Below are 26,679 nucleotides of genomic sequence, written 5' to 3' on the forward strand. Positions count from 1 at the left end.
CAAACTTGGGAAAGGGTTTAGATGAATTGAACCAAAAGGCAGATAATAGAATAAAAAAGTAGTTGGTAAGGACACACTTGTAATTCTGGAAGTAAATATGGACACTTTGGATAATTAGAGGTTTATTCTGGAAAGTTTTCCTAACCATTCACTCATGTACTCACTCAGTCACCATCTCCCTGACTCTCATTTGATATTCATAGAGCACCTATCACAGTCTGGGCAATATTTTTAAAACAAAAATTAATGCAAAAAGTATGCATATAATTAATGCAAAAAACAGGTAGGATGAACAAAATTTTAAAATTTTAAGTTAAGACAGAATCAGAGGCTGGATAAAGAAAATGTGGCACATATACACCATGGAATACTACACAGCCATAAAAAAGGATGAATTCGTGTCCTTTGCAGGGACATGGATGAAGCTAGAGACCACCATTCTCAGCAAACTAACACCAGAACAGAAAACCAAACACCGCATGTTCTCACTCATAAGCGGGAGTTGAACAATGAGAACACATGGACACAGGAAAGGGAACATCACACACCGGGGCCTGTCAGGGGGTTGGGGGCTAGGGGAGGGATAGCGTTAGGAGAAATACCTAATGTAGATGACGGATTAATGGGTGCAGCAAACCACCATGGCATGTGTATACCTATGTAACAAATCTGCACGTTTTGCACATGTATCCCAGAACCTAAAGTATAATAATAATAAAAAAAAGACAGAATCAGTATTTCTGATTTTTCCTTTTGCCTCAGACCCTAGTATGATTTGATATGGTACTGCAACTGATCTATCTTTATTTCAAATGTTGAGGGCTATAGTTAATAGTATTGTATTATACACTGAAAGATTGCTAAATGAGTAGATTTGAGATCCTCTTATCAAAAAAGAAAGAGGTAAGTATGGGAGATGATAGATATATTTGCTTACCTGTAGTAGTCATTATTGTATGTCTATATCAAAACACTATGTTGTACATCTTAAATTTCTAAAAATGATAAAATAAAATAAAAATTTGATATTTCATTTATCATAGATTTTTGTATTAATTTTGATTTTTAAAATATTGCATTAAATATTATTTATTTTAACTGCTGAGTTTTGTTGGTGTCCCTTTACATTTTGTGTCCCCACCAAGTGCCTCACTCACCTAACTTTAGACCTGGTCCTGTTGAGGCATTGGTAAAGGCAGAGGATACAAAAAGTAAATACAACATGTCTATTCTCAAGGAGTTCTCAGCCTGGTGGAGAAGACAGACAGGTAAACAATGAACTGAAATACAAATATTTCTATAATAGAACTATGTGCAAGGACAGTGTTGGCACAAAGGAGGGGGGGATCCACTCAGTTGAGGTGGGTGGCCAGCAGTGAGGAGGGGAAGGGCATTCTAGGCCAAAGGACAGCGTGGGCTAAGGTGAGGAGAACTGCAATGGCAAGATGAGTGGTTCATTCCAACCAGCAAGGTGAAAAGTGAAAGCAAAGCAGGTAATAGCAGGAGGTAAGCTCAGAGAGGTAGTCAGGTGCCAGGGGCTGCAAACACTAATTGAATACCTTGTATGTGTGCAGTGTTCTGAGCGTCCCCACAAAGCATCAGTCATAATATGAGCGCTGAGGATCTCACGCTAGTTATAGCAGACAGGGCAAGTCATACAGGAAAAACAAACAATAAAACCAGGTAACAACAAGGAGTGCAGGGACAGACTGAGAGGACAGCAGTTCCAAGGAAGGCACAGTCAGATCTCTGAACTGGGGAGGGGAGATCACAGAAGAAATAGCTTTTAGGCTTAGCTCTAAGGGAATAAGCAAGGTCTCAAGATGCCACATCCTCCTGGCCACCTCCTCTCTGATGTGTGTGTCTGCATCTTTGTAACTAAATAGCCTCCATTCACTCCTCTGTATGAATGCAGACTGGGAGCTGGCTGAGGAGGAAGAGCCCTCAACAGCCCTAGCTTGGATGGCAGCCAGGGCTCTGTGTCCCTGGGACATAATCCCAACTGACTCTCCTTGCTGGATGAGCACAGCAAAAGGTATAAATAACAGCAGAAATGAACCCCTCCCAGGACTGCTGTGGGATTAATAAGCCCTTGAGACCCTGGCACTTCAAACCCTGTGGAAACTAGTGCTTCAATTGCTATTATGAGCAGACTCCCAGCCATGGCTCCTTCAGCACATGCTGCTAGATAATCTCTCCCCAACCACTGCCGGGAGCTATCAATCACCCAGTGCCTATCTCTTAACCCACAGCCTGAGAAGGGAAGGGAAGAGGCTGCAAGGACAGTGTGGGGTGGTGACATGAAGGGGCCAGAGATTATCAGCTGGTTGATCTCTTCCAGAAGTGTGAGAATAGTGCACAGGCTCTGAAGTCAGCCAATGTGGTTTTGAAACTTGGTTTTCCCACCTATTACATCTGTGAAGCTAGGTGGCCAGTAACAGGGCTGTTGACAAATATTCCCATTCTCTAACTGGGTTCATGGTAGAATTATACTTATCTGCCCCCTCTGGAGTTAGGTGTGGCCATGTGACTTGCTTTGGACAAGCAATATGAGGGAATGAATGTGGAAGTGGGAGTTTTAAAAGCTAGTGCAAAATTCACCACATTCCTTTCCCCCTCCTGTAGCATTTGAGGAAGCATGTGTCAATTTGGATTTAGCCTGGGAATCTAAGTGACCAAGATAAACAGAGACTCCTGGTCACCTGCTTTCAATGTAAATAAAAAATAAACTTCTATTGCTTTAAGCCACTAAGACTTGAGAGTTTTTTTACTGCAGCATCATGTAGTGATCCTGACTAGTTCAGGGCAAGTTAAGTTACTCAATCTTTTGAAGACTCAGTTTCTTCACTTGTAAGATGGGAATAATAATATCTATATTATAGAGTTATGGTAAGACATAAGAGATAACTTATGTAAAATCATTAGCAAATAGTCCATAATAAGTGCTCAACAATTGTTAACTCGGGTGGTTATTATCACGTTTATTACAACTCTCTTCTTAGGCTCCTCCAGGGGCCAGTGCACCTCTCTACTCTGATGCAGCCAGTGTTCCCTTCACCAGTTCAAGTGATAAATAGGTGAGGAGCTCACATATCTCAGGTTTGGCAATGCCACTTTATGTTGGTTGTCAGCGGAATTCTTAATGATCTCCCTGTGGATGGTGATCCACGTAGGTGACCCAGCCCCTGCGGGAGCCTGACTGAGGGACCCCTGGCTCGAGGAGCCGGAGGCTCTCTCACTTTTCCGGCTGGTGCTGGGTGAGATAGTCTTTGCTCTCACTCTCTCTTGCCATCACTCATCTAGGCAGTACATTTCTGAGGATCAATCACTACAGTCCTTTACATCACAGTTTCACTCTGCTGTTAACCATCATTCAGCGGAGAGCATCAAGTGAGTTACAGAGGAGGCAACTGAAGTTCACTGAGGTTAAGTGACTCTCCCAGGGACACAGCTTAGGGCTGGAGCATGAAGAGGGCCCAGCCTCCATTTCCTTTGGTGCTTAGTCTCCTAGTTTGGACATTTTTATTCTTGTTAGTTTCAGGTTGGGCAGTGATTTTAAAAGCCTCATCTTCTCCTCTCATCCTTCCTTCTCCTCATTAATGGCCAAGCAAGAAATTCTTCAAGGGCAAACTGGTTTTTCTGGGACTTCTGATTGAAGTGTAGAGCTGTTGTTTTGGTGGGTATCTACCTACAGTGCTGGAAGATACATCCCTGTTGTCCTTGGTCATGGGAGGAAGAAAGCATTTATCCATTGCATCTCTGACTGGGGGTTTTCCTTTGATGCCACCGGTTGAATCTCTTCCAAAGAGAATCAATAGTGGCAGAATTTCTTTATGGAAGGGCATTAAGAGTAGCAATCTGGTTGGGAGGCAGCAGGTGTAGGGAACTCATCTCGAAGTGTACTTGCAGAGGAACCATCTACTTTTACTTAGTCTGTTTATTTGCCATGGTTGTATGGAGAGCACTGATAGAGGCCACGAAAGAGCTCAAGCCAGTCCTACACCCTCCAACCCAGCCCTTTACACTGTTCACAGTGCTGTTGTAAACCAAGCCTCACATAGAGCCAGTTAATGGAGAAATAGAAAAGTCAAAGAGAGTGTAGATCAATCGGAACCAACCCAAGCCAACAGTTTGCAGCTCAAAAAGCAGTGAGAATATAGAGACCCCTCTTATGTAGGGCCCTCTTAATATCTACCAAGTGGCTTTATGGGCAAGCAATTCCTGTACAAATAGAATCTAATAAAAGATTGTCAGCTGAGGTTTTAGGAGTCATAAGTTTTGGAAACTAGCATTGTTTGATAGGCTCTCGATTCCCTCATCACTATGAGCTTCCTTCACTGGTTGAACCAAAATCAATAAAATTGTATTCCAAAAGAGCCTGTCCTTCAGAAACCCTGTCACTAGCAGCCCCAGAGTCTTCACCAGACTCTGTCCCCTCTTCTATTGTCTGCACAGAGAAGATGTTGTGGGTGTCTTCTGCCTGGCAAGTAGGGCCCAAGATATTTGTTTTCTCCATGATAGAGAAATATTCTCAAGTTTCCCTCCACAGCACCAAGTGTCCTCCCAAACAGATGGGGCACAGGCAGCATATTTCACATTGATGACTTCAGAACTCTGGCTGGCAACAGTGCTGAATTTCTTTTATTAGACTTTATTTCTGTGGTCATTATTCACCCATAAAAAGCCACATGGTAGATCTTAGGAGGCTCAGCACAAGAGGAATCTCTCTCTTTTCACACATCTCCCCTCCCTGTTACTTTAGCATCTCTTAGGAGACTCCCATTTCCTAGTGGGCATTTTGTTATCTTCCCAGAGTTCCTTAAGCCCCATGGAACACTTTCTAAAGAAACAGAGAAGGTGGGTGTACCAATCAGGTACTATAATTTTCCAGGGTCTTCCTGATAGGGATTGGGAATGTTATTCTGGGGCCTGTAGGAATTATGCCTCTGAGCATTTTTTTTTTCAGTTCTCTGAATCTGTATATCAGTCAATATAGGGAAAGGCAAAGGGCTTCTACCCACTCTTCCCACCTCTTTGCTTTTGGACTTGCTGTTATTCCTACAGAATGCACTTCTCCCACCCCTTTTGTTCCTGTCCATCAGAAATACACCTATTATTCAATCTTTCCCTTATCAATATGGGTCTAACTTATTTTTCCCTTTCTATCTCCTAAAGCATTTATTTGCATCTTTTGTTTATGCATTTAATCATATATTATCTTGAATTGTTATCTGTTGCACATATATAATATTAATCTTTCAAGTGAGATAAAAAATTATTTTAGAGGCCCAGGCACAGTGGTTCATGCCTGTAATCGCAATACTTTGGGAGACTGAAGCGGGCCAATGTCTTGAGCCCAGGAGTTTGAGACCAGCCTGGGCAACACAGCAAATCCCCATCTCTACAAAAGATACAAAAATTATCCATGCATAGTGGTGCACACCTGTAGTCCCAGCTACTCAGGAGGCTGAGGTGGGAGGATCACTTGAGCCCAGAAGGCAGGAGGTTGCAGTGAGCCAAGATTGCAACCATTGCACTCCAGCCTGGGCAACAGAGTGAGACCTTGTTTCTAAAAAAAAAAAAAAAAAAAATTATTGGCTGGGCATGGTGGCTCAAGCCTGTAATCCCAACACTTTGGGAGGCCAAAGTGGGTGGATCACCTAAGGTCAGGAGTTTGAGACCAGCCTGTCCAACATGGTGAAACCCTGTCTCTACTAAAAATACAAAAAAAATAGCTGGATGTGGTGGTGGGCACCTATAGTCCCAGCTACTCAGGAGGCTGAGGCAGGAGAATTGCTTGAACCTGGGAGACGGAGGTTGCAGTGAGCCAAGATTACACCACTGCACTCCAGCCTGGGTGACAGAGGGAGACTCCATCTCAAAAAAAAATTATTTTAGGATAGGAATAATTGAATCATTGATAACTGACATTTGGTGATTGCCAGCTATTGGTAGAGAATGCATTATGTGGAAGAAGATACAGACACAGCCTCAGAAAATTAAAGCTGAAAGGGGCTAAGAAGTTGTCCAGACCAACTCCTTTCTTTTCCAAATAAGATGCAAAAGCAACTACTAAAGGAGCCTTTCACATTCCCAAGTATATACCAAAACTGAAACCCAGTTTAAACCCTATTTCAGAGCTTACTCCTGTGCCTCCCTCTCTGCTAGAGTTTGTCATCAAAAATTGCCTTGTGGAAACATGGATGAAGTTGAACCTCTTGGATTCTTCGAAGCCATGAGGGTAAAATCGGTATACTTTTGCATTGACTTAGTTGGCTTTGCAACTATTTCCCATCCTGCAACCCTCAGAAGTACTGGCTTTCAATGGTCTGTCCCATCTTTTCTGTTTTAAGTCTATAGTAGACCCACTAAATTACCAGACTGAATTGGACCAAAGAGAATTAGGCAATGGAGACAGTGTCATGGAACAGAAAGGGTATTAGATTCGATTCCTAGCTAGTTAAAAATCGTTAGCTAGTTAAAAAAATGAGAACCAGCAATAATAACAAATAGGGTTTAATGAATGCTCATGATTGCTAGTGTGCTAGCATTTTGCACTTATTCTCTCATTTATTACTCATAACATCCTTATGAGGTAGGTGCTCTTATTATGCTAATGGTACAAATGAGGAGACTGAGGCACAGAGAAATTAAACAACTTGTGGTGGAGGCAGGCGAATATGATAATGGAGGAGGGGCTATCAGAATCCTATGGTTCTTCTGTTATTCTAAGACTCTATTGGTCTAAGAAAATCCACTTTTAAAAGCCCATTCTAGTTTCATTGGAAAATTCACACTCGTTTAGGGCAAAGGTTGAAAACAACATCCCATGGCTTAGATCTTTGGTTTGGCTACACAATGTTTTTTTAAAAGAAAAAGAAAAAGAATTTGTGAATAACATTTCACATTGGGAGATGATATATAGAATTATTGATTTTTGACTTCCCTCGAAAGATGAAGAAACCCGTGTTTCTGCACGGTAAGAAGGAGCTGGAGCTGAGGAGTGGAGGGTCCTTCTAGAAGGTCCTCCAGTTCCCCCCACCCGTCGTTCACCACTTTCTACCAGTTCGCAACATGGTGACCATGCTCAGCTGTCATGACGTCTGCCCTACTTCCCTCTTGTTTGTGGCCTACCTGGCTCCCAGAATCATTTCAGTTTGAGACACCTGCTGTACTGTGGGCTCTTCTGCTACTCAAAGTCTGATTCTGCAAAAGAAAAAGAACTTTGAGAGTTCTTCTGAAAATCAATGATCTTTCTAAACTGGAAGGATGGATTATTGTCAACATAACAAACCTCATTTTCCAGTGTGGGAAAAAAAATCATTGAAATAATTTCTCTAGAAAGAAACAAATTCATTATATGGAAAAATCAGCCTCCGTTCAGCAACACTTGAATGGTGGCTTCAAACATTAGAAACTTGCCAAACCAATTTTCTCCTCTCAGATTTAACACTGCTCCATTTATCTCAGTGGGGACTAAAGACCAGCTAAATTTGAAGTCATAAAGCTCAGCCTTTTTGAATGATTTTGGTCAAAACAGCTTTTTTGTAAGCAGACAAAGTGTGCTTATTTAATGTTCTTCCTTCTCAAAAGGGACTAAAGAGAAATTTCTAAAATTTTCCCAAAACATTTCACCTCTGAGCTGATTATAAAGGTGGAGAGTTTCAGCTGGAAAAGGGGTGCATATTTCAGGGTTATCAGCTCTCAGAAATAGAAGATTATAATGGAATCAGGGCTCCTTCCCACTTGCTTTTAACTACAGTTAATGCTTCTGTAATCATTATAATAATGATGTTTTGCATTTATATAGCACTATTCATTCTTCTTAGGAGCTCAGAATGCTTTGCAAACATTATCTCATTAAATCCTCTTGACATCCCTGCGAGGCAGGTGATGACAAGAGAGATTGTCCCTGAGGTACAAGGCTCTCTCAGGGGCCAGCACAGTGGTGAGATGAGCTGCCCATAATCCCAGACCAAGTCCCCACAGGGCTGGAAATAGAGCACTGGTCTGCAGGATGCTTGACAGAACCTCACGTGAGGAACAGCATCTCCTAGGGAATGTGAGAAGTGACTTTGTTCCCCACATGTCCTGGCACAGCTTCCAGAGGCTCATGTAATAGGAAACAATGCCTGGGTCCTCCCATCTGGAAACTGCTTTTGGATACTGTGGATAGAGGGAGCATTCAGTGAATATTGCTGAATGCATGAATGCTAGTTTAGTCTCAAGATTTCCAGCTGCACTTGGTTGTGCTAAAAGTTCAAATTGTACCCAAGAGCTGAATTTTCAGAGGCCTTCCTTTACTTTTCAGACACTGGGGCTTGTCTATACCTGCTGATGGTTTTAGATGGAGGAAGAGGCCTATTGGTTTGGAATATTCTGGTAAAAACCTTGCTGAGGGGTGTATTGGAAATGTGGGGGCATGGGGGCCCTAGTTAGCTGGACCAGTCATGTAAATTAGCATTGATCCATTCACCTCCAAGCATTTGGCCAGGCCCAAAAGAAAAACAGATGGCAGTTAGGGAAGAATGAATTTTAATAAAAATGGAAACTACTGACTTTTCTGCAGTAACATTATTCCTCTAGGCTCATTTCCATTGTTCTCTGTCATCACTAGAGAACAGAGAAGGGTTAGTGAAAATTGAACAGACCTCTGCACCAGCTAGGGTCTTTAAATCCAGCTTCTCAAGAAGTTCACAAGAAATCAGATAATCTTAGATTATCTTTCCTGGACCTCACCTTTATCATCAACAAATAATTCTTTCAGGCCACTACACACAGGGCATGTTCCTGAGGATGCCGAGAACAATATAAGGCAGTAAGGCAAGGGACCGTCCTTGCATTAGTCAAACAGGATGTGTACTCAAGAACAACAGTAACAGTCTCCAGAAATCAGTGTATGAACTTCCCTCAGGAAGTAAAGATCACCATGCAAATGCGAGGTGTTTTCCCACCGGTGATTCAACTGTAGACCTCATTTAGTCCAATTCTCTATTTCAGTTAAGTTTAACGATTATTTTTAGAGCATTTACCAAAACTAAAGGCCATACAGGTTAAATGACTTGATCAAGATCACTTCATTAGTTATATCATTGAAAACATAATAACAAATCAACTCACCAAGATTAGAGGTGCTATTTTCCATGGGACACAAACAAAAGGAATATTAAATGCTGCAGGAATTCAGGCAATACAGTTATAGTTTTCAGCAAGCATGTTTTAGTTACCAAAGCCTTGGACGTGGGCATGAATACATGCTTATGGAATGTACAGTATGCTGTATAAACAGAAGGCATGCGTGAAATGGCATGGTGACTGTGAGAATCCAAATTCTAAAAGGTTATGAGTGTCTAGAACTGGAGAACCAAATGAATAGAGGTACATTTAGGAGAAGTATGCACTCTGCAGTTAGTTTCTAGAAGGACAGAATATGGGTCACATCTGACCCTGCTCCAGAGACTTTAGTCAAGTGTTGTGGGAAGGCACTCAAAGAGCCAAGGTCTAGGTAAGACTCCATTAGGTCAGGCACCCAGCCGCTCAGTGGCATGTAAATCACTCTGCCACTCTAGAATCTCAAGTTCCCCAAGTCTTCACATTTTCTGGAATGCTCTAATGAATCTGTAAGCTCCATGAGGGCAGAAATCCAACGTGTGCAGGAACCCCTCCCTCTTTGTTGAGCAGAGAGGAGATGCGTCCTTAAATCGAATGCACTCTTAGGTGGCTCCGGCTCTCCAGGAGCTAAAGGGCTTCCCCAAGGTCACACGTTCAGTGACGGAGAGGCAGGGTGGAGCTGCGGTCTCCAGACTCCATTCCAGCCTCTATGGGCCCCGGGTTGCGGGGGGTCACCAATTTGCAGAGCTGAGGGAGAAGAGAGGAGGGAGGAAGGAGAGCAGGAGGGAGGGGAAGCTGTCCCCAGCTGCCAGATGGGAAGTGTCAGCTTGGCCTTGGCCACCTCGGGTCACCGCTCCTCCCTTTCAGGCGCCCGGGTTTGCCCACCGCGAAGAGCAGTGGCGGAGACATCGCAGCAACGCTAACGGGGCAGACCGCATAGGGGCCCTGAGAGGCACACACGCGCCTTCTGCTCACACCTCAGGCAGTCGGAGGGGCCCGGCGGAGCTGTGTTCGTGTTGTCATGGCGACGGAAGCAGACCATTAGAGCATTACGAGGAAATGAGAAGACTTGGGGTCTTGCGATCGCCGCCGAGTGACGGAGTAATTCGCAGATGCCACCGAGCGGTGGGGCGGCGCGGTTAATGGGGTCTCTGCTGGGCTAGTGTCCCGCATCAGCGGTAATGGGGCCGGCCCACCCGGAGGCAGCCCGGAGCAGCGTCGCCCCAGCAGGCTTATGCGGACCTGGCTAACTCCAGAGGCCGGCGGCTCCTTGCGGTGGGGAGAGGAGGACAGAGGGGCCAGGTGGAGCGGGGTCTGCAAACAGCCCAGGCTTTTCGTGAGACCCATTGGCGGGTTCCCTGCCACCAATATGCAGTCTCACAACCGTTTTCTGTCCCACTTGAAACCAGAAAATACACTTCCCAGATAGCAAGGAGGGGTGATTCGGATTCAACTCTTGCTGCAACTCGGGATGGAGGCAACCCCTCGGCGTGGGGATGCTGAGGCAGGCAAGAGACTGGGGCCGGTTCTACAGGAGGGAGGAAAAGAGTGAGCCATATGATAGAGTAAAATCCCTTGCAGGACTTCCATTCGACTGCACGCCTACTTATCCTGGCATTCTGCATGTTTCCAGCATTTTAGGAAAGTGTCACAGTGGTTAATTAGCACAGACTCTGGAACTGGACTCGGGGATTGGAACCCCAGTTTTACCACTTGTATTAGCTGTGATCTTGAGCAGGTTACTTAACTCCCTTGTGTGTCAGAGAAGTTCTGCATTTGTACAATGGAGATAATAGTAATATACCTTAAAGAGGTGTTATGAGGTGTATATTTAGAATGATGCCTGGCATATAGTAAGAATTAACTATTTTTACTATTTAGCTATTACTCGTATTATCATAAGTATTATTAGTATCAGTCTGGATTTATGCAGTGAGATATCCTATAAAATAAGAGGGTTGGAAGAAGTGATCTTCCATTGCAGTATGTGGAACAGTTCTGCAAACATAGTTTTGTATGTTACTCTTGGCTACCAATATCTATTTGATTTAAAGGTGATTTGGCTTAGCAGAAAGCAAGGCTTCTGTTTATGTCTATACATGAGATGCACCACCAGACACTGACTGTATTGAATTGAATGGCCCCACAGCTATAATACCCACAGGGTTTGCACGTAAAGATAGGGCCACCATGTACAGTTGAGTTGGTTGTATATCCTGCACAAAGGTGCCCAGCTGAGGGGTGAGTAGGAGCAGAACCCCAGCCCCTGCTTTACTCCTGAAGCTATGCTCCCTGGCGTAGTGCTATGTCTGCCTGGAGGAAGGAGCTCATTTAAAAAATTTTCAACAACTTACCTTACGGGCTTTCAGTAGCCTTGTGATCTTTGGGAAGGTCACAGCAAAACGAAAACAATGAAAAACCCAAAAAGCAAAAAACAGAAAACAAAGCATGACATTTAGTCAGATGCAGATCCTGAATTTAAGACTTACGCTACAGAGGAACTCCTGAGTTTGTTTGTGGTCTTGAGTGAAAAAAAAATTTGCATTTCCTCTGACAGTTCCTCATTCTCTTTCCTCTAGCTTTTGCAGCATTTGTTTAGATAAACTTTGCTGAGGAGATCAAATCACTTTGCTTATAACAGAAATGATATTGTAGTTTCAACATATTTATACAGATTTATATGTGTGCCAAAATATGTTTACATATGTAGAAACATGAAGGTACAGAAATGCCTTTATCTTCTGTTTGTGTTTAGCTGACTTTGACAGTCCAGTAGCTATACCTCTCAGAGGAGTCTGGTAAAAACCGCCACATCCTGCACTTGCTCTGCAGCGGGTAGAGTTTGGGTAAGGTCACTTGGCCAGTTCTTACTCAGAGATGCGGCCCTGAGGCGCTGAAAAAGCCGAAACCCTCGCCTTTGAGGTTGGCCATGGCCACTATTACACAAAACTTAGTCTTTCAATTTGATATATGTTTGCATGTCTTTGGGGGACTTAGTGTGTGATCCACAGACTTCTAGTCATCATGGCAGAAGAGAAAGGTGAATGGGCCTAAACTTAAGAGGCCTGAGTTCCAGTTCTGGATTTGTAATATTAAAATCTGTACAATTTTGATAAACACTTAGCCACTCAAGTTTGAGTTCCTTGATTTGAAAATAGGGATAATTATACTCATGAATATTTATGGAGATAAAATGTTAAAAGCCATGTGAGAATTATGAAAACGCTATATACAGTCAAGAAACAGATTCAACTAAGAGTCATTGAGAACCTGTTGTGTGCCAGGGCCTGAGTTAAGCAATACCTAGAGAGAAATCGCTCCCCTCTCCACTCACTTATGATCTGTAAGATGAGGAGGTTGTATTATACTATCTCTATAGTTTATTTCAGCTTTAGGGCTTTTAAAACTCTATTCCTACCTAATAGAATAGTCATATAATTTTACAGCTTGGAAGGACTCCATCTTGGGAGGAAGAATGAACATACTTGCAAAACACACATGAACAATTTAAAGAAAAGCCATGAATAAATGCACACAGTAAGGAAGGTATCTTCAGAGGACACACTTGGCCCCACTGTTGGCCTGCCCCAGCACCCCACTGTATAGAGCAGGGAGATCAAAAACCATCTGGGGAGACTTAGCATGCAGAAGAGGAAGGATGTCAACCAGACTCTCCTCTGAGTGGGTTTGGAAAGTATGTGGATCTGCTTTAAATTGATAATATAAATATTTGTCCTCCAGGCTCCTGCCAAGACAATGTATCTTCCAACTACTTGCTGCCTGACTCTAATCCAAGGACCAAAGGCAAAAAAAAAAAAAAAAAAAAAAAAAAAAATAGCGTTCCTGTAATTGTCAAAAGGACATGCGATCTACTCATTCCTCTCTATATCACACTGGTCCTCAAATTGCATCAGAGCTTGTTAAAATACAGATTCCCTGGCTCCATTCCCAGAGTTTCTGATTCTATAGGCCTGAGTTGAGCTAAAAAAATGTGTATATCTAATAAGTTCCCAGGTGATAGTGATATTGCAAGTTCAGGACTACTACACCGTGAGAACAGCTGGTCTGACTAACATCAAGTTTATCAACAGGTCAAGCCTAAAACAAACAGATGCATACTTGTAGCACATTGTTCTGATCCCTCAGTAGAAGCAGGGTGTCTTGAATTTACGGACACTGCACTGTGTCCTTCTCTTGCATTGAGGAATAATACAAATAATGGCCTTAAGAAATGACTGGCATCTTCACTCTTGTGAAGTTGTTGAGGATGCAGATTCCCACATCTCTCAATGTCCTTTTATTAGTATCCAAGAAAGAAATCTCTATCAGTTATTAGAAGGAGGAAGAAGTGCTCATTTTATCCCCAGAATGATTGGGATGCTTTCTTCTTTCAGGTTACATGACTTCATTTGCTTCATTAGCTTCCTAGAAAGCTCCGAGACCAACAAACAGCTCATTTCCAATAAACGGGGAGAAACTTATGGCACATATTTGAGGGTACTAATTTTCCCTGTAATATATTTTTATTCAACTTATTTTTTCTTTGTCTTCTTCTCCTTTGTAAGTTTTCCCAAATCTTTCCTAGAATAAAGGAGGAAAAAATAAATACATACATAATAAAATAAGGAAATGGTGAAAATTACGTGTGCTAGTTCTGAGGGGACAAGAAATAACCGAGTAATAGAAGTTGGTGTCAGTAAACGTGTGTTGTCTGTTTTAGTGTGGTGGGTAACAAAAGTGATTTACCCAAGGTCCACCAGCTATGTGCTGTAGACCTGGCACTAAAGTATAAATCCTCTTGCTCCAGTGACAGAGACCTTTTTTTCTAGTCTTTCCTGCTTCCCATACATAAAGCATTGAGATAACTGGGCTCCTGCCTCAGTGTTTGGTGTCAAGTTATCCAACCTGAGAAATCAGTAAAGTGAGTTTGCTTCAAGCCCAGGCATTCCTCCTCCCAAAGGAAATAGTAAGGGGTCAGTAAGAATTGACAAAAACTTGAAAAGATGGCCTGAATCATTAATAGAGAAATTTTTTCAAGTTGCGAGGGGACTAATCCTTCCTTCTACTTCTCAGCAGTCACTGTAGCAATTACTGAATGGACACTAGCAGGAGCAAGAAGTGTTAGGTTTTTATAGGATGCTAAAAATGATGCTTTGATGAATTCTCACTAAAAATCACATGGGTGAGGAAGAGTGATGCTAGTGGTTAAGTAATAGCCATTGCTCACATACCCCACGTCTTTGGGGTTAAATCAGGGGTACTGGCTGCTTGGCAGTCTGTGTGGATCACTCTAGGCTTAGCATCTGTGAGTGGCAAGGTATAGGTAACCCTCTCATCAACCCAGTGCTCCTTTACCCCTTCTGGGAGGCCTGGAGGGGGCAGGTCAGCCCTTCCTCTGGCCTCTCACTGCCTCTTGTGTGCTGCACTCACCACGTCACCCTGAAGTTATCTATCCCCTGTCCATGTGGCTAGACTGCAGGCTCCTTCAGGAGACAGCCTGAGAAACGATTCCAGCTTGGTCAACACAGAGAAAGGAGTCCCTTTTATTTTCAGTATTTTATTTTCAAGTAAATAGATCAAAAATTTTTAACCCTTGCTGTGGGAGCACACCAGTGCTCCCACCATGAAGACCCATCAGACCCTGATCAGCTTTTACTTTCTTAGTTGAAAAAGCCAAACTGAAGGAGTGAGGGGGTGGGGAGATGAGGACAGTGGCAGCTTTTCCCCTTCCCCGCTCCCCTCTTCTAATGAATTCTTCAAGCAGCATCCAGAGGAGGAGATGGGCCAAGGCAGGCCCACGCTGCTAGCCAGCTACATTAATCACACTCCATCCCTTCAGCCCAGCGGAGATGGATGGCCCCTCAGCAGGCCAGTGTTCAGGTGCAGTTCTAATAATAGGCTTCATTCAGCACTTCTTGACTCTCACAGTAGCTCCCTTCTCTCCCCGACAACTGACCAGCCCCATGAAGTAAGTTACATCAAAGACCTCAAAAGGCATGAAGTTCCAAGGAACTCCGGGTTGGAAATGTAGGCCTGGTCTCAGCCTTCCTTTCACAGTTGGGAAGACTCGGGCCAAGGAAGGTCACCCAAGGTCACAGTGGGAAGGCTGGGCAGCATAAAGAAAAGCTCACTTCCTTGCCCGATGCTATCTTGCTGCCCAGAGAGAAGGAAAGGGAAGCAGAGACAGACTGGCTGACTCCATGGAGCTCCAGTTTTTTGAGAATCTATCTTTATGCCATCCTCTCTCCTCCTCTCCTTTTGTTTAAATTCCATTTGCCCTTCAAGAACCAGTCTGTTTTGTGTACAAATGATGGATTGATTCTGTTATTGGTAGGGCTTTCAAAGGCAGCTCCTGTGCACCTCCCATTTATGTGCGACAGTCCCTGGGTCCCTAGCGCCCTCATTCTGTCACCCTTTGCCGCAGCGCTAACCAGGGCAACATGACCACCTATGATAGAAATCATACCTGTAAGTGCCTAGGGGAAGAATGTCCAGAGAAACACAAGATGTAGCTCTTGGAGTTTATATCCTAGAGGAGAGGAGGAAGCATACACAAATGGAACACCCAAAGAAGCATCTGACAAAGTATAATTAATGAATTGGCTTGAAGCTCATCTTTATCCTCTCTCCAGGGTACCAAAGGGAGAAAGTGTAGGCAAAAGATGGAATGACAAAATGGTGGGCAGCATAGGGAAGGATGATGACTCATTCTCACATCAGGCAGCCAGGCTGCACATCATAAAGATTTATCAATAGATGAATTGTCAATCCAATAAAAACCATAGACTTTGGAGTCAGAAAGACCTTGGTTTGAATTCCAGCTCTTCCATTTATTCACTATCTGGCCTCAGGAAAGTTATTTAACCTTTCCAAAAATTTCAATTTTCTTATCTGCAAAATGGTTATACCTATCTCACTGTTGAGAGGTTTGTATGACTCAAGGAGGTCAATGTCTAGCACTGTGCCTGGGTCAATATTGGCACTTTAAAACTGCCAGCGCATGTATACACTTACTTAGTCATTTAACACATATATAATGAGCACCTATCATGTACTAGACATTGTACTAAGCCTGGCATACATCAAAGGTGAACAAAAAAGACAGTGACCTTGTCCTCATGAACATAGCATTGTGGCCAGTGAAATAGATAAGCAAATTGACAATTATAATTCAGTCTGTTAAATGCTAGGATGAAGGAAGCACAGGTAGGGCCACAGGAGACCAGAAAAGACATCCCTGTTTCATTCTTAAAATTTCTTTTCCCATCACCTTAGTCACTTGCATTATTTTTTCTCCTTCCTTCTTTTTAAAGATTATCTGGCCAATTGATTTTTTTTTCCTTATGCTGATAAATCTTTACTGCTCTAAGGAATTGCTGGTCATCTCATCTGCCCAGCCAGCAAGCATGACAGCTTTCTCATCTTTCAGAGTTTCTTTCCTCCCTGCCTGGTTGTCCTCACAATTCTTCAAAAGCAGGCTTAACCCCTTGGTGGCTCTCTGCTGTTTGGTCTGTCTATCTATCAGAAGAGCTGGCGAGAGAGATTTAGTGTTGGGAAGGGTTAGGCAAAGCTCTGGATTGAAAAATCCTGATACAAAGCTGAGGGAAAGAAAAGGCAGAAGCCATTTGCGCACTCTTTCCTTCATCCACTCTTTCATTCTTAAACGGACAATAATTTATTTGATGTAGGCTGAGATTTATTTTATGACTTACAGGACTGGAGATTTTGGGGCAATAAAAATTTGTCAGACTATTCAGACCTGTCATCTTCTGCGTGCCTTCTTCAGGCGCCAAGGTTTCCTTAACTACCCAGATAAGTCTTCCAGATGACTGTGGGGCCCTCTGTCAAGGGAATAATTCTGTTTTCTACTGGGCCACCAAGCAGGGCTCAGTGGGCTGGCTGGGACTTACAAGGACAGATGCTGGGCCTCAAAGAAGCCAGACTCTGGACAGAGAATAATGTAAATAAAATGCAAAATATGATCGACTGAGTTGGCACAGTATTCCTTTAAGCTTGCAGGGAAGTGAGGTGGCAAGAAGTAGATGAAAGAGAACTAGACGTAAATTAAGGATCCTGACACTCTAAATTTGTCACAAATCCGTTTACACGATTTTTGGAAAGTACTTTAACCTCTCTGTGCCTTTACTTTCTCATCTGTAAAGTGAAGGGGTTTCCTAGGATCCCTAGGAATGCCTACAGGCTGGCAGAATTCCTGAACATGACTTATGGATGGGCTGCAGACCCTTGTCCAGAGCAGCTCTGTTGATGCTCTGCCCAGGACCCCCCACCCGACCCCCACAGCTTCTGTGAGCCTTTGCCTCTCTGTGCCCAGTTATCCTCTGAGGATAGCCCTCGACCACTGGAGCAGCTTGGGGTTTGCATTCCACCATCCCTTCTCCTCTGGCTTTGAACCAATGCCTGATAGATGGGGGAGTGTGAAAGCCCAGCAACATGGGGTCAAGTCTGAAGAAGCTTTGAGATGCCCAGTGCACTCCAGGGCTCCCCTGCAGGATCAAGCTGAGACTAGGATTTTGCCTGAAATGTTGCCTTTGCTTGGCTCCTTTCCTTCCTTGTCCTGCTTCACTTCCTCCCTTACTAGGCTCTCCTGAGCCACTTTCACATGGGTCTTTGTCCTGCGGTCTGCCTCTGGAGACTCCAAACTGTGACAGCTTTCAAATCCAGAAAGTTGGTAGAGTTTGTTCTGTTAACAAAACATCCATCTATCCCATTTCTTTCTATTTCTTCTTTCTTTATCTCCAGTGTTTATGAATTTGTGGCCCATATGTTTCCTTTGCCAATGGTGGACAATTGTTGAGACTGAGTCGTCTTGAGACTAGAGGTCACATGACAAGCTTGCAAGTGGCTCAAGTAGGAAGGACATTTCATGCCAGATGAAGGTTCTCTCCTTTAATTCATAGAAGCCCAAATGGAATCCCTGGCACTACAGTCCTGCTAAGCATTTGTGCAACCCAAGAGTCAACATGCAAGTTTGTGACTACAGCATCCATGGAGGTCTAATAGAGTGGGTACCTCTTGGAGAAAGGTAAAGATTGGAAACATTTCCCCAAATTCTGAGTAATCACAGAACACAGTCCTCCTCTAAGGCAGCTCTGCTTTCCTGACCTATATTGTACTGGCTTGTAGCTACATCTTATCTTCCGGGTAAGACCATATGCTTGCTCTTCAAGGACATACTCCTCATCTGATGAATCCTTTCTGCACCAAACACAATACGTTACAGTGGTCAGGACTCAGTAAACATTATGTCTGAAAGGATCAAAGTGAACGTGAAGAACAGTACGCCAGAGGGAAGGGCCAACAGTGATGGAGTTAAGCTCAACTAGGTTCAAACCTAGCTCTGTCCCTTCTCTGTTAGGCAAGCTGGTTGGTATATACTTATTCAGTCTCTTTGCATCTCAGCTTTCTCATCTGTAAAATGGAGATGTACTAACTATTTCATGAGGCTTTCCTGAACATTAACGATGTAGTATACTTAAAGGAATTATGAAAGTTTCTATCTTACTGCAGCTGCTTAACTGATGTACAGGTTATCTCTGAGCTTAGTCAGTTCTGTGGTCAGAGAAGGGACAGCAGAGGCTTTCTGACCTACAGCCACTGTGCCTCACTAGGAAGAGGCAAGGAGCTTTGCTGTCTGTACAAGTTCTCCCCTAGATTGCAGCTCACCCTGGAAGTACTACAGGCTTTTAGAAGCCTTTGTCATTCCTATTTTCAAGAATTCTTCTGAAGGCTTATTACTCCCTAACAAGTGAATCCAATCAGTAAAATTTCTGGTAATACACATTCTATGGAAATTTAATATATAGTAAAGTGGCACTACAACTCAATGGGAAAGGGATACATAGCTTATAAGATGTTCAGAAAACAAGAAGATTTCACAAACTTATCTGCCTTTTACATTTGCTGAAGATATCTTTCTGGAAAAACACCAAACTGGATTCCTTTAAATGCACATCACATACAAAAGTAAAATTATGGACAGATTAAAGAAGTAAATGCAATTGTAAGTAGAAGGTTAAAAGAAGAAAATATAAGAGAATAACTTTTTGACCTTGGGATAGGCAAGGATTTATTAAACACAACTTTGAAAGCATAAGATATAAGGCAAAAGGCTGGATTTTACTAATTGAAAATTAAGGATTTATGGACAGTGTGGATAAAACTGAAAGATGATATTGGGAAAAAGTAGTTGTAATGTCTAAAACTGACAAGGGATTGAGATATAGCATGTTCAAGGAGCTTCTGTAAATCAACAACAAAAAAGCAGCAACACTTAACAGAAAAAAATGGGCAAGAATAGGAGATTAAGAGGAAATCAAACCCCAAAGCCTTGTACGTTTGAGAAGAGATGTTCAAATTTATTGGTAATCAGAAATGTGCAAAGTAAAACAGCAAGACACCAATTTTAACCTGTGGGAGTATCAAAAATTAGAAAGCTGGATGCTGCCAGGCAGGGATGTGGACTATAGAAACCCCCAGGCCTGCAGGCAGGAGTGCAGCCCTCAGTCAACTTGAGTGCACACAAGCAGGAACCCAGAAATTCTGATCCTGGGCAAATATCCCAAGAAACTGTCCTTCCACAGGCCCATAAGAGGCACAAAAGGGAATACTCCTCACAGCACTGTGTGTTGAGAAGTGTGGTAGTGGTTCTCTGAGTGTCTGTCCCTGGGGAATGGATAAGCCAGGCATGGCATGTGCACATCATGGAGCACTTTGCAGCAGAAAGGAGCTAAATACTGGATGCACAAATACTGACACAGATGGAGCTTTCAAACATAGTGGGAAGAAGAGAAAGAAGGAAGTTGAATGACATCTGTAACCCAGTTTGACTTATATAAATATTAAACACAAATCAATAATCAATAATTTGCAAGAATGTATACATATATACATCAAGCACATTAGAATGCTTGCCTATTGGGGTAAGAGCATGGGAGCAGGGACTGAAGATAAACAGCAATAAATCAATAAAAAGAAGAAAAAAATATTGAGGATGGGGTCCATGTTTTCTCTCATTCTTCAGTGGCTGCTGAGATCAAAGTGACTTGGGAGATCGATCTTTCTGACAGTCTGTTGCAGAGACTAGAGGGTTTTATAAAATGGTAGCTGGACATAGTAGTGGTGTCATCTGAGGTGATATCCAAGGTGTCATCCTTAGGGGGCACCCTGCAGATGCCCCTGTACTCTTGGACTTGGTTTTGACTTTGCAGGGCTAGAGACAAGCTGTCATTGGCCATGAGACCCTGGGGACCCACCTGTGCTGAGATGCATGTGAGACAGGTAGATGTCAGAAGGCCAACTGATAAGTTACAATAAGAAGTAATTGTCATACAACCAGAGCACTAAAAGCTGCCTGATTAGTGCATTCTCTTCTTGTAGTCAAACTACATAGGAAGCCAAATCATAATCAGAAGGACAAGAACAGAGATGAAGCAAAAGAAATTTAGATGATCTTATAAAAAGCCACTCAACTGAGACAGTTTGAGGGATTGTTCCAGGACACAAATAGTCTTGCTAATAATGGGAATGTGATATTGGAATTACAAACATGTTGGAGTTTGGGCACATAAAAAACATCTAATTAAATACAACTAATTAGAAAGAAAGATAGGATGAAGATTGGGGCCTAAACAATTTTGAACATAAGCAGAAACCTGATTCAAGACAGATAATATAACCAGCCACCTCAGGAAAAATATATCTCAGAACAAATCTTCCCTGGTCTCTGCAGACTGTAAGGAATAAATGAATAAATGCAAGAAAGCCTTCTCACACATGGGAATGTTGAGTTTTACCTAAGACACATGATCCTGGAAAACAGAGAAGGTTAAGAAATAACCCCCCTCTTTTGTTCTGGGAAATGGCTTACTACGAAGAACCACTGTTACCCTGTGACTTAGCTAAGACTCATGGATGCCCCTTTGTTTACCCATGGCAAGGCCAGACTCAGACTCTCCAAATTCCCATGCATTGCTTCATGAAGGATTAGCTAAACAGCTCTTCATTCCTGGCCAATTGAAACAAAAATGCTTGTTAACCAAACTTTAGTTAAGCTTCTCTTCTGCTCCCAGTTATCTGAACTTTGGTGAGCATACAACTCCCCTTTAACAGCCCCTCCTGGGAAGCAGCTGGCCTCAGGGTCAAACACTCTGATCTATTAGCCCATCATGGCAGACTTTCACCCCATCTCCCCACACCTGGTTCTTTCCAGTCTTGTTTACTCCTCCCTATAAAGGAAAGTTATTTTTGCCTGTCCCTTGAGATGCTTGCAGATCTTATGGTCACCGCAGTCCCACTATTGCAATAGCTCCTTTTATCCCTCGCAACCATTCTTTCTAATAAAACCTCTCCTTACTAAGTCCAGAAATGTTCTTCGATTTGACACACATCATAGACCATGCCCTCTAACTTCTCTGACACTCCTGGAGGAGATGCCACCACTGCAGTAAGAGAGAAGGGGAGAGAAAGAATACATTCTGTAGGGCCTACTATGCATTCATGCCACAGTAGAGTTTTTTACTAACGTAAATAATATTACATGGCTTGATCACTGAGCCAGTTTGGTGTGCCCTGTTGGCAGGGAAATCTAACCTGTCCGGATGCTGTTGCCTACCTTCTACTTTAAAAGTTACCTCTTGATGTTTCTGTGAAAAATTCTTTCCTCCCCCTTGCCCTTTGCTTGGTTCTTCACTGATATATATTCTTCAAAAACCTTAAAAAATTGCAGGCTAATTTAACCCGTTCCTTCATTTGGGAAGAAAGCCATAAAGCTTTTGATCACTGGAGGCTTGTGTTCATCTGGGAATCGCTCTTTATTTTATCACATCAGGGAAATGATGTCCACCCAGGTCCCTTCTCTACAAATGTTTATTTTTTTATTTTTCTAGGCACCTATCCTGGTCTCCATTTCCTTCGTTTCTACTCTTTTTTTTAAAGACATGGGGTCTTGCTCTGTTGCCCAGCCTGGAGTGCAGTGGTATAATCATGGCTCACTGCAGTCTCAAACTACTGGACTTAATCAACCCTCCTGTCTCAGCCTCCCAAGTAGCTGGGACTACAGGCACTCGCCACCATGCCTGGCTAAGTTTTTAAAATTTTTAAAGAGATGGGGTCTTGCTATGTTGCTCAGGCTGTTCTGCAACTCCTGGCCTCAAGCAATCCACCCTCCTTGGCTTCTCAAAGTGCTGGGATTACAGGCATGAGCCTCTATGCCTGGCCATTTCTGCTCTCTCTTGATCTCCATCTCTTTCTTTTCCCTCATGTTGACCCACTGAGAAATTAATTAATGTGTTCACTAGCTAAACAAGTGCCTATGGAACACTGACTATATATCCAGGGTTATTCTAGGCACTGGAAACTCACAGACGCATAGTCTCTACCATCAAGAAGCTCACAAAGAGCAAAGGAAACAGACCTATAAAGTAATATAGCACAACATGATTAATCCTGTAATGGAGATATAAAAGAAAAATAAAGTGCTGTAGACCGAATGTAAATCAATGGGTGGAAAAACAAAGAACCGACAAGTAACAGTTGAAAATGTTTCCTTTTTTTAATCAAATACTCAATCTCCTTCCAGGCTGGTTAGATGACATGTGGCTTAGAGTTCACAGACTGGAATATAAGGATTTTAATCTTTTAGGTACCTGCCACAGAGTCCTTTCTAGGATGCAGTATGATAAACCCTGTCTTGATTTTGGAGAAGCAGCCCACAGGTTGGGTTTTTGGGGGAGCACTGGCCTGGATTCCCTTGCCCTTGCCTTTCCACAGTCACTCAGAGCACCTCCTCTGTTAATCTCAGAGGTTACAGAGATGTGAGTGGGCCCTATCCCACCCCTAGGTTTCTCCTACACTGCCTGGGGCTAAAAGGTGTTCCAGCAACGGTAGCCCTCAAAGCTCTCAATGACCCATGTGGTTTTGCTGGGGATATCTGAGTCTCTTTCTTGCAAAGGCAGCCCCTTGTCTTTGCATATCTGGTGAACTTTATAGGAATTCCTCTTGTTGCAGAGGAAATTCAGGTTGTGGGCAATGACCTTCTATTTCAGAAATGCCCTGCAGGGACAGGCATCAGTCAATGGGTCAGGCCTCCACTCTGTTATTGAAAGGCTGGGCCCACAGGCAGTGCTAAATACTAGGATTTTTCTTCCCCCTGAGAACTTGATAGATTTTTATTTCTATTACCCAAAACCCCCCACTTTTCTTCACATATAAAATAATGCAGCAGTTTTACAAATGAAATAAGGACCTTCTAACCTTGACAAACGTATCCTTAATCTTTCTGTGATGTCTTTAAAATCCCAAACCACTTATGAGATGAGAAAAAGGCTGGGAAAGAGAAGAAAATCATACTGTGGGAATGTAAACTCCTCCAAGTTTTCTGAAGATATGTTGACTTTCTTTAATATTCTTTTTCCATTAGTGAACTTGATTCCAATCATTTACTCAACAAATATTCAAATGTTTTTCATGTGTCTGGCATTGTGCTAGGTGCTGGTGTAGGAACACAGCCCCCCTTTCCCTCAAGGTATCTACAGTTAAGAGGCAATGAAGGTCTATGGTTTCAACACAGCACCTGGTACCTTGAAAGACCTTAAAAAATGTTTGATAAATGAATGGATGAATCATTACCTTGTGACTAGTGGTTTTTGGTCCAGATCCCTAAAGCTGTATGTTTAGGAGAGTTAGAAAGCAGTGAAAGGTTGCCAGGAGAGACTTTGCAGGGTCTCCTCTGGGTATTCTGTAAGCAGAGCTATCTTTCTAGAAGGGTGCTACAGGGCAAAGACATAATCTCTCTAAATTCCTGTGATTCTCTCTAGGCTTCTGAGTCTCTGTAGCTAGGTCCTATTTTGCTAGCCAGGGCCCAAATCCTTCCCACAGTGCATCCTTGTTCTAATGGTAAAGGCTCCTTGTCCAAATCTGGGGTATTTTGTGAGCCAGTCAACATCACATTGGTAGCTTTAAATTGGCCATGTTGGGAGCATTTACACCTTGGGAACTGGCAAATCCTACAAGTTAGCACCCATATCCCCCTCCATCAACCCCACCCCATCCCACCCCAGAGCCAGTTTATCAGCATTCCCTGCCTGGTTCTTCTCGCCTGCAGCTAATCTCACTGGCATGATTGGAGCCTGCCCTCTGTAGCCTGGCTTCTCCTCCTGCCCTCTGATTCCAGAGGACCTGTTGCTCTGCCCTGTTCCTTCCCTTGGTGCTGTGGGTGTGTCATTATTACCATCTACTGAACAGATGGTCTTCTGGCCTCCACTTTGGCCAGTGGACACCAGAATTCTCTTGTCCTATCAAGTTACTGCCCTCTCCCTTCTTCAGGAAAACACTGTCAGCAAAGCCAAGGGAGCCTGCATCAGAATTTGGCCTCCTGCATATCCAGTCTACATCAAATCTTTATTAAATGCCTCCTATAAGATGAACATGATGCCGTCTGTGCTCAAGGAGTGTCACAATTTAAATCCCATCCCCTCAATCAGAGAGATTTTATGGTATCCTGAGAAAGGATGTGCTCTGGAGAAATATGAACCCGGTCAAATCCTAGCCCAGCCATTTACTAGCTATGTGGTCCTAGGCAAGTTACTTAACTTTTCTAAGCCTCCGTTTCTTTATCTATAAATTAAGGGCAATAGTATTTACCTTGCATGGTTACTGTTATTATTAGAGATGATGTACATAGTAGATGTTCAACAAGTTTTAGCTATTACATCTTGCTTATGTGTTAATATTTAATTTTTCTTATTAAAGAACTGAGTGCATGCCATCAAAATTCTATTGTTGTCAAATTGGAATATGGTAGGAAGAGAGAGAGAGGTGTGGGGAAAAGATTATGATACCTATGTATGGTGTGGAGCAAGGTGAAGAGGGAAGCAAGGCTGAGCTGATATTGACACATGGGCTTTAAGTGAGCCAGGCACCCTAGGTCAGGAGGGAGAGGGTTTTCTTTCCTTTCCTCTCCCACCTGTGTCCTCTCTGTTATTGAACCAAACTGGAATCTGCCCACCTGGCTTGGGAGGTATGCCTAGCAGACACTTAAGAGAAGTCCCTGCTCTGTCTCACCTCTTACCACCTTCTTGGCAGAATGTCTGACTTTTTCCACTTTCTAGGCATCTTTTTATGACTGTTTTCCTTGATTATTTCATCCCTCCTTTCTGGGAACATATCATCATCATCTCAAATTGTTAAAAGGAAGCCTGACTCTTTGTAGCATACACTATGGATATGCACTTCAGGCAAGAAGCTGGGCAGTTCCCTTGGTGACCTTAGTGTCCCCCAGGGCTCCCCTGCCGTGTTCCTCTCCAAACACTCCTCCTTGGTATTTACAGCTTCTTGGAAGGGGAATTTTGTAACCAGGGGCTCCTTGGGGTAACTGTGGTCTCATCCTGACCTGTATGAGCACACACAGAGACGTCTCAGCACTCAGGTTCTTCCACACAGTGGGTGACCGGCTGTTCAATGGCAGGGCATTTGGGTGTCATAAAGGTGACAATGAAGCAATGAGCAAAAATACTGAGGAAGAAAAAGCCGTGGAACTCCCTTCCTCTAGCCCACAGCCTGGAGGGCTGCTATGCAGCCATCTGGACTCATGGGGATCCCCCCACCTGAGTGGGGCTGGTGAAATAGCTTTCTTCCTGAGGGAGGAAGGAAGGAAGGAAGGGAAATGGCTCAGTTACATTAGTGGAGATAAATCGAGGGTGGACAATAAAGGCTAAGAGGGCTGCTGAAAGAATTATAAACCTTTCATCTTTGGATGTGGCTGGTGTGGTCAGAGCCTGAAGAGAGTACAACCAAATTCTATTTTTAACTGGTGTGTGTCTCCCAGCTGAAGGGGAGGGAGGATTCTTGGACCTTCTTTTCTCCTTAAAGTTTGCTCTATGAGCTTTTCCATAAAGGGATGTTGAGCACCAAGCCTGGACTTCAGTCTGGGCAGGTGATTAAACAGTAACTCCTCCTTTTTCAGAAACTGGATTTTAAACATGTATTGGGAGAGGAGGGATCAGGCTTAGTCTGCAGGCCTGGAGATGCTTCGGTGATGTTGAGGACTCCACGTCCTGCCCCTTACACAGGCAGGGATCCAATGCCTGGAGGAGTAGGGGTCTGAGGGCCACATCAAGGCCCCGCCCTGAGGCTTCGAGGTCACAGAGCCTATGTGTCTCCTTACGGTGTAAACTCAGATGAGTGTGAGCTCTAATCCTGTTCCTGACTCACTTTGGCCGGTCTCCTGACCCCTCAGGACTTCAGCGTCCTCCTGCTTCAGGAATTAGAGTGTAGAGAGGAGCATGGAGATTAAGCGGAGCCTTCCAATTGTGCAGTGGTACTGAATGGAGACAAGAAACCAAACTGGAGCTCTAAACACACTTATTTACAGTCTGCATCACAAACATAGCTTGCACCTTTCAGTTAGGCTTCTAAAACATCCCACATCCACATATATTTAGGTTTTACTTTGCATAGTAGTTAAGAATCTCACTGAAGCCTGTGCTCAAAAGATATTTAATGACGTTCCATGCTCAATGCTAGGAGTTTCAAAAGCAATACTGTAATGTA

General features: G+C 43.3%; 1 protein-coding gene across 2 annotated transcripts in view, besides 1 other annotated feature; it reads right to left on the bottom strand.

Moving 5' to 3' along the window:
- Positions 1–26,679, bottom strand: part of TNR (tenascin R) — a 428,402-nt gene that overhangs the window by 274,093 nt on the left and 127,630 nt on the right. The gene's annotated exons all lie outside the window — the stretch shown is intronic.
- Positions 11,374–11,443: an enhancer, noted in NCBI's record as "active region_2138". NCBI's record gives its function as "activates an Ori minimal core promoter by ATAC-STARR-seq in GM12878 lymphoblastoid cells {active_cell/tissue: GM12878}" and the evidence as "EXISTENCE:reporter gene assay evidence [ECO:0000049][PMID:35858748]".

This window comes from Homo sapiens, chromosome 1, assembly GCF_000001405.40.
Source record: "Homo sapiens chromosome 1, GRCh38.p14 Primary Assembly".
Lineage (NCBI taxonomy): Eukaryota > Metazoa > Chordata > Mammalia > Primates > Hominidae > Homo > Homo sapiens.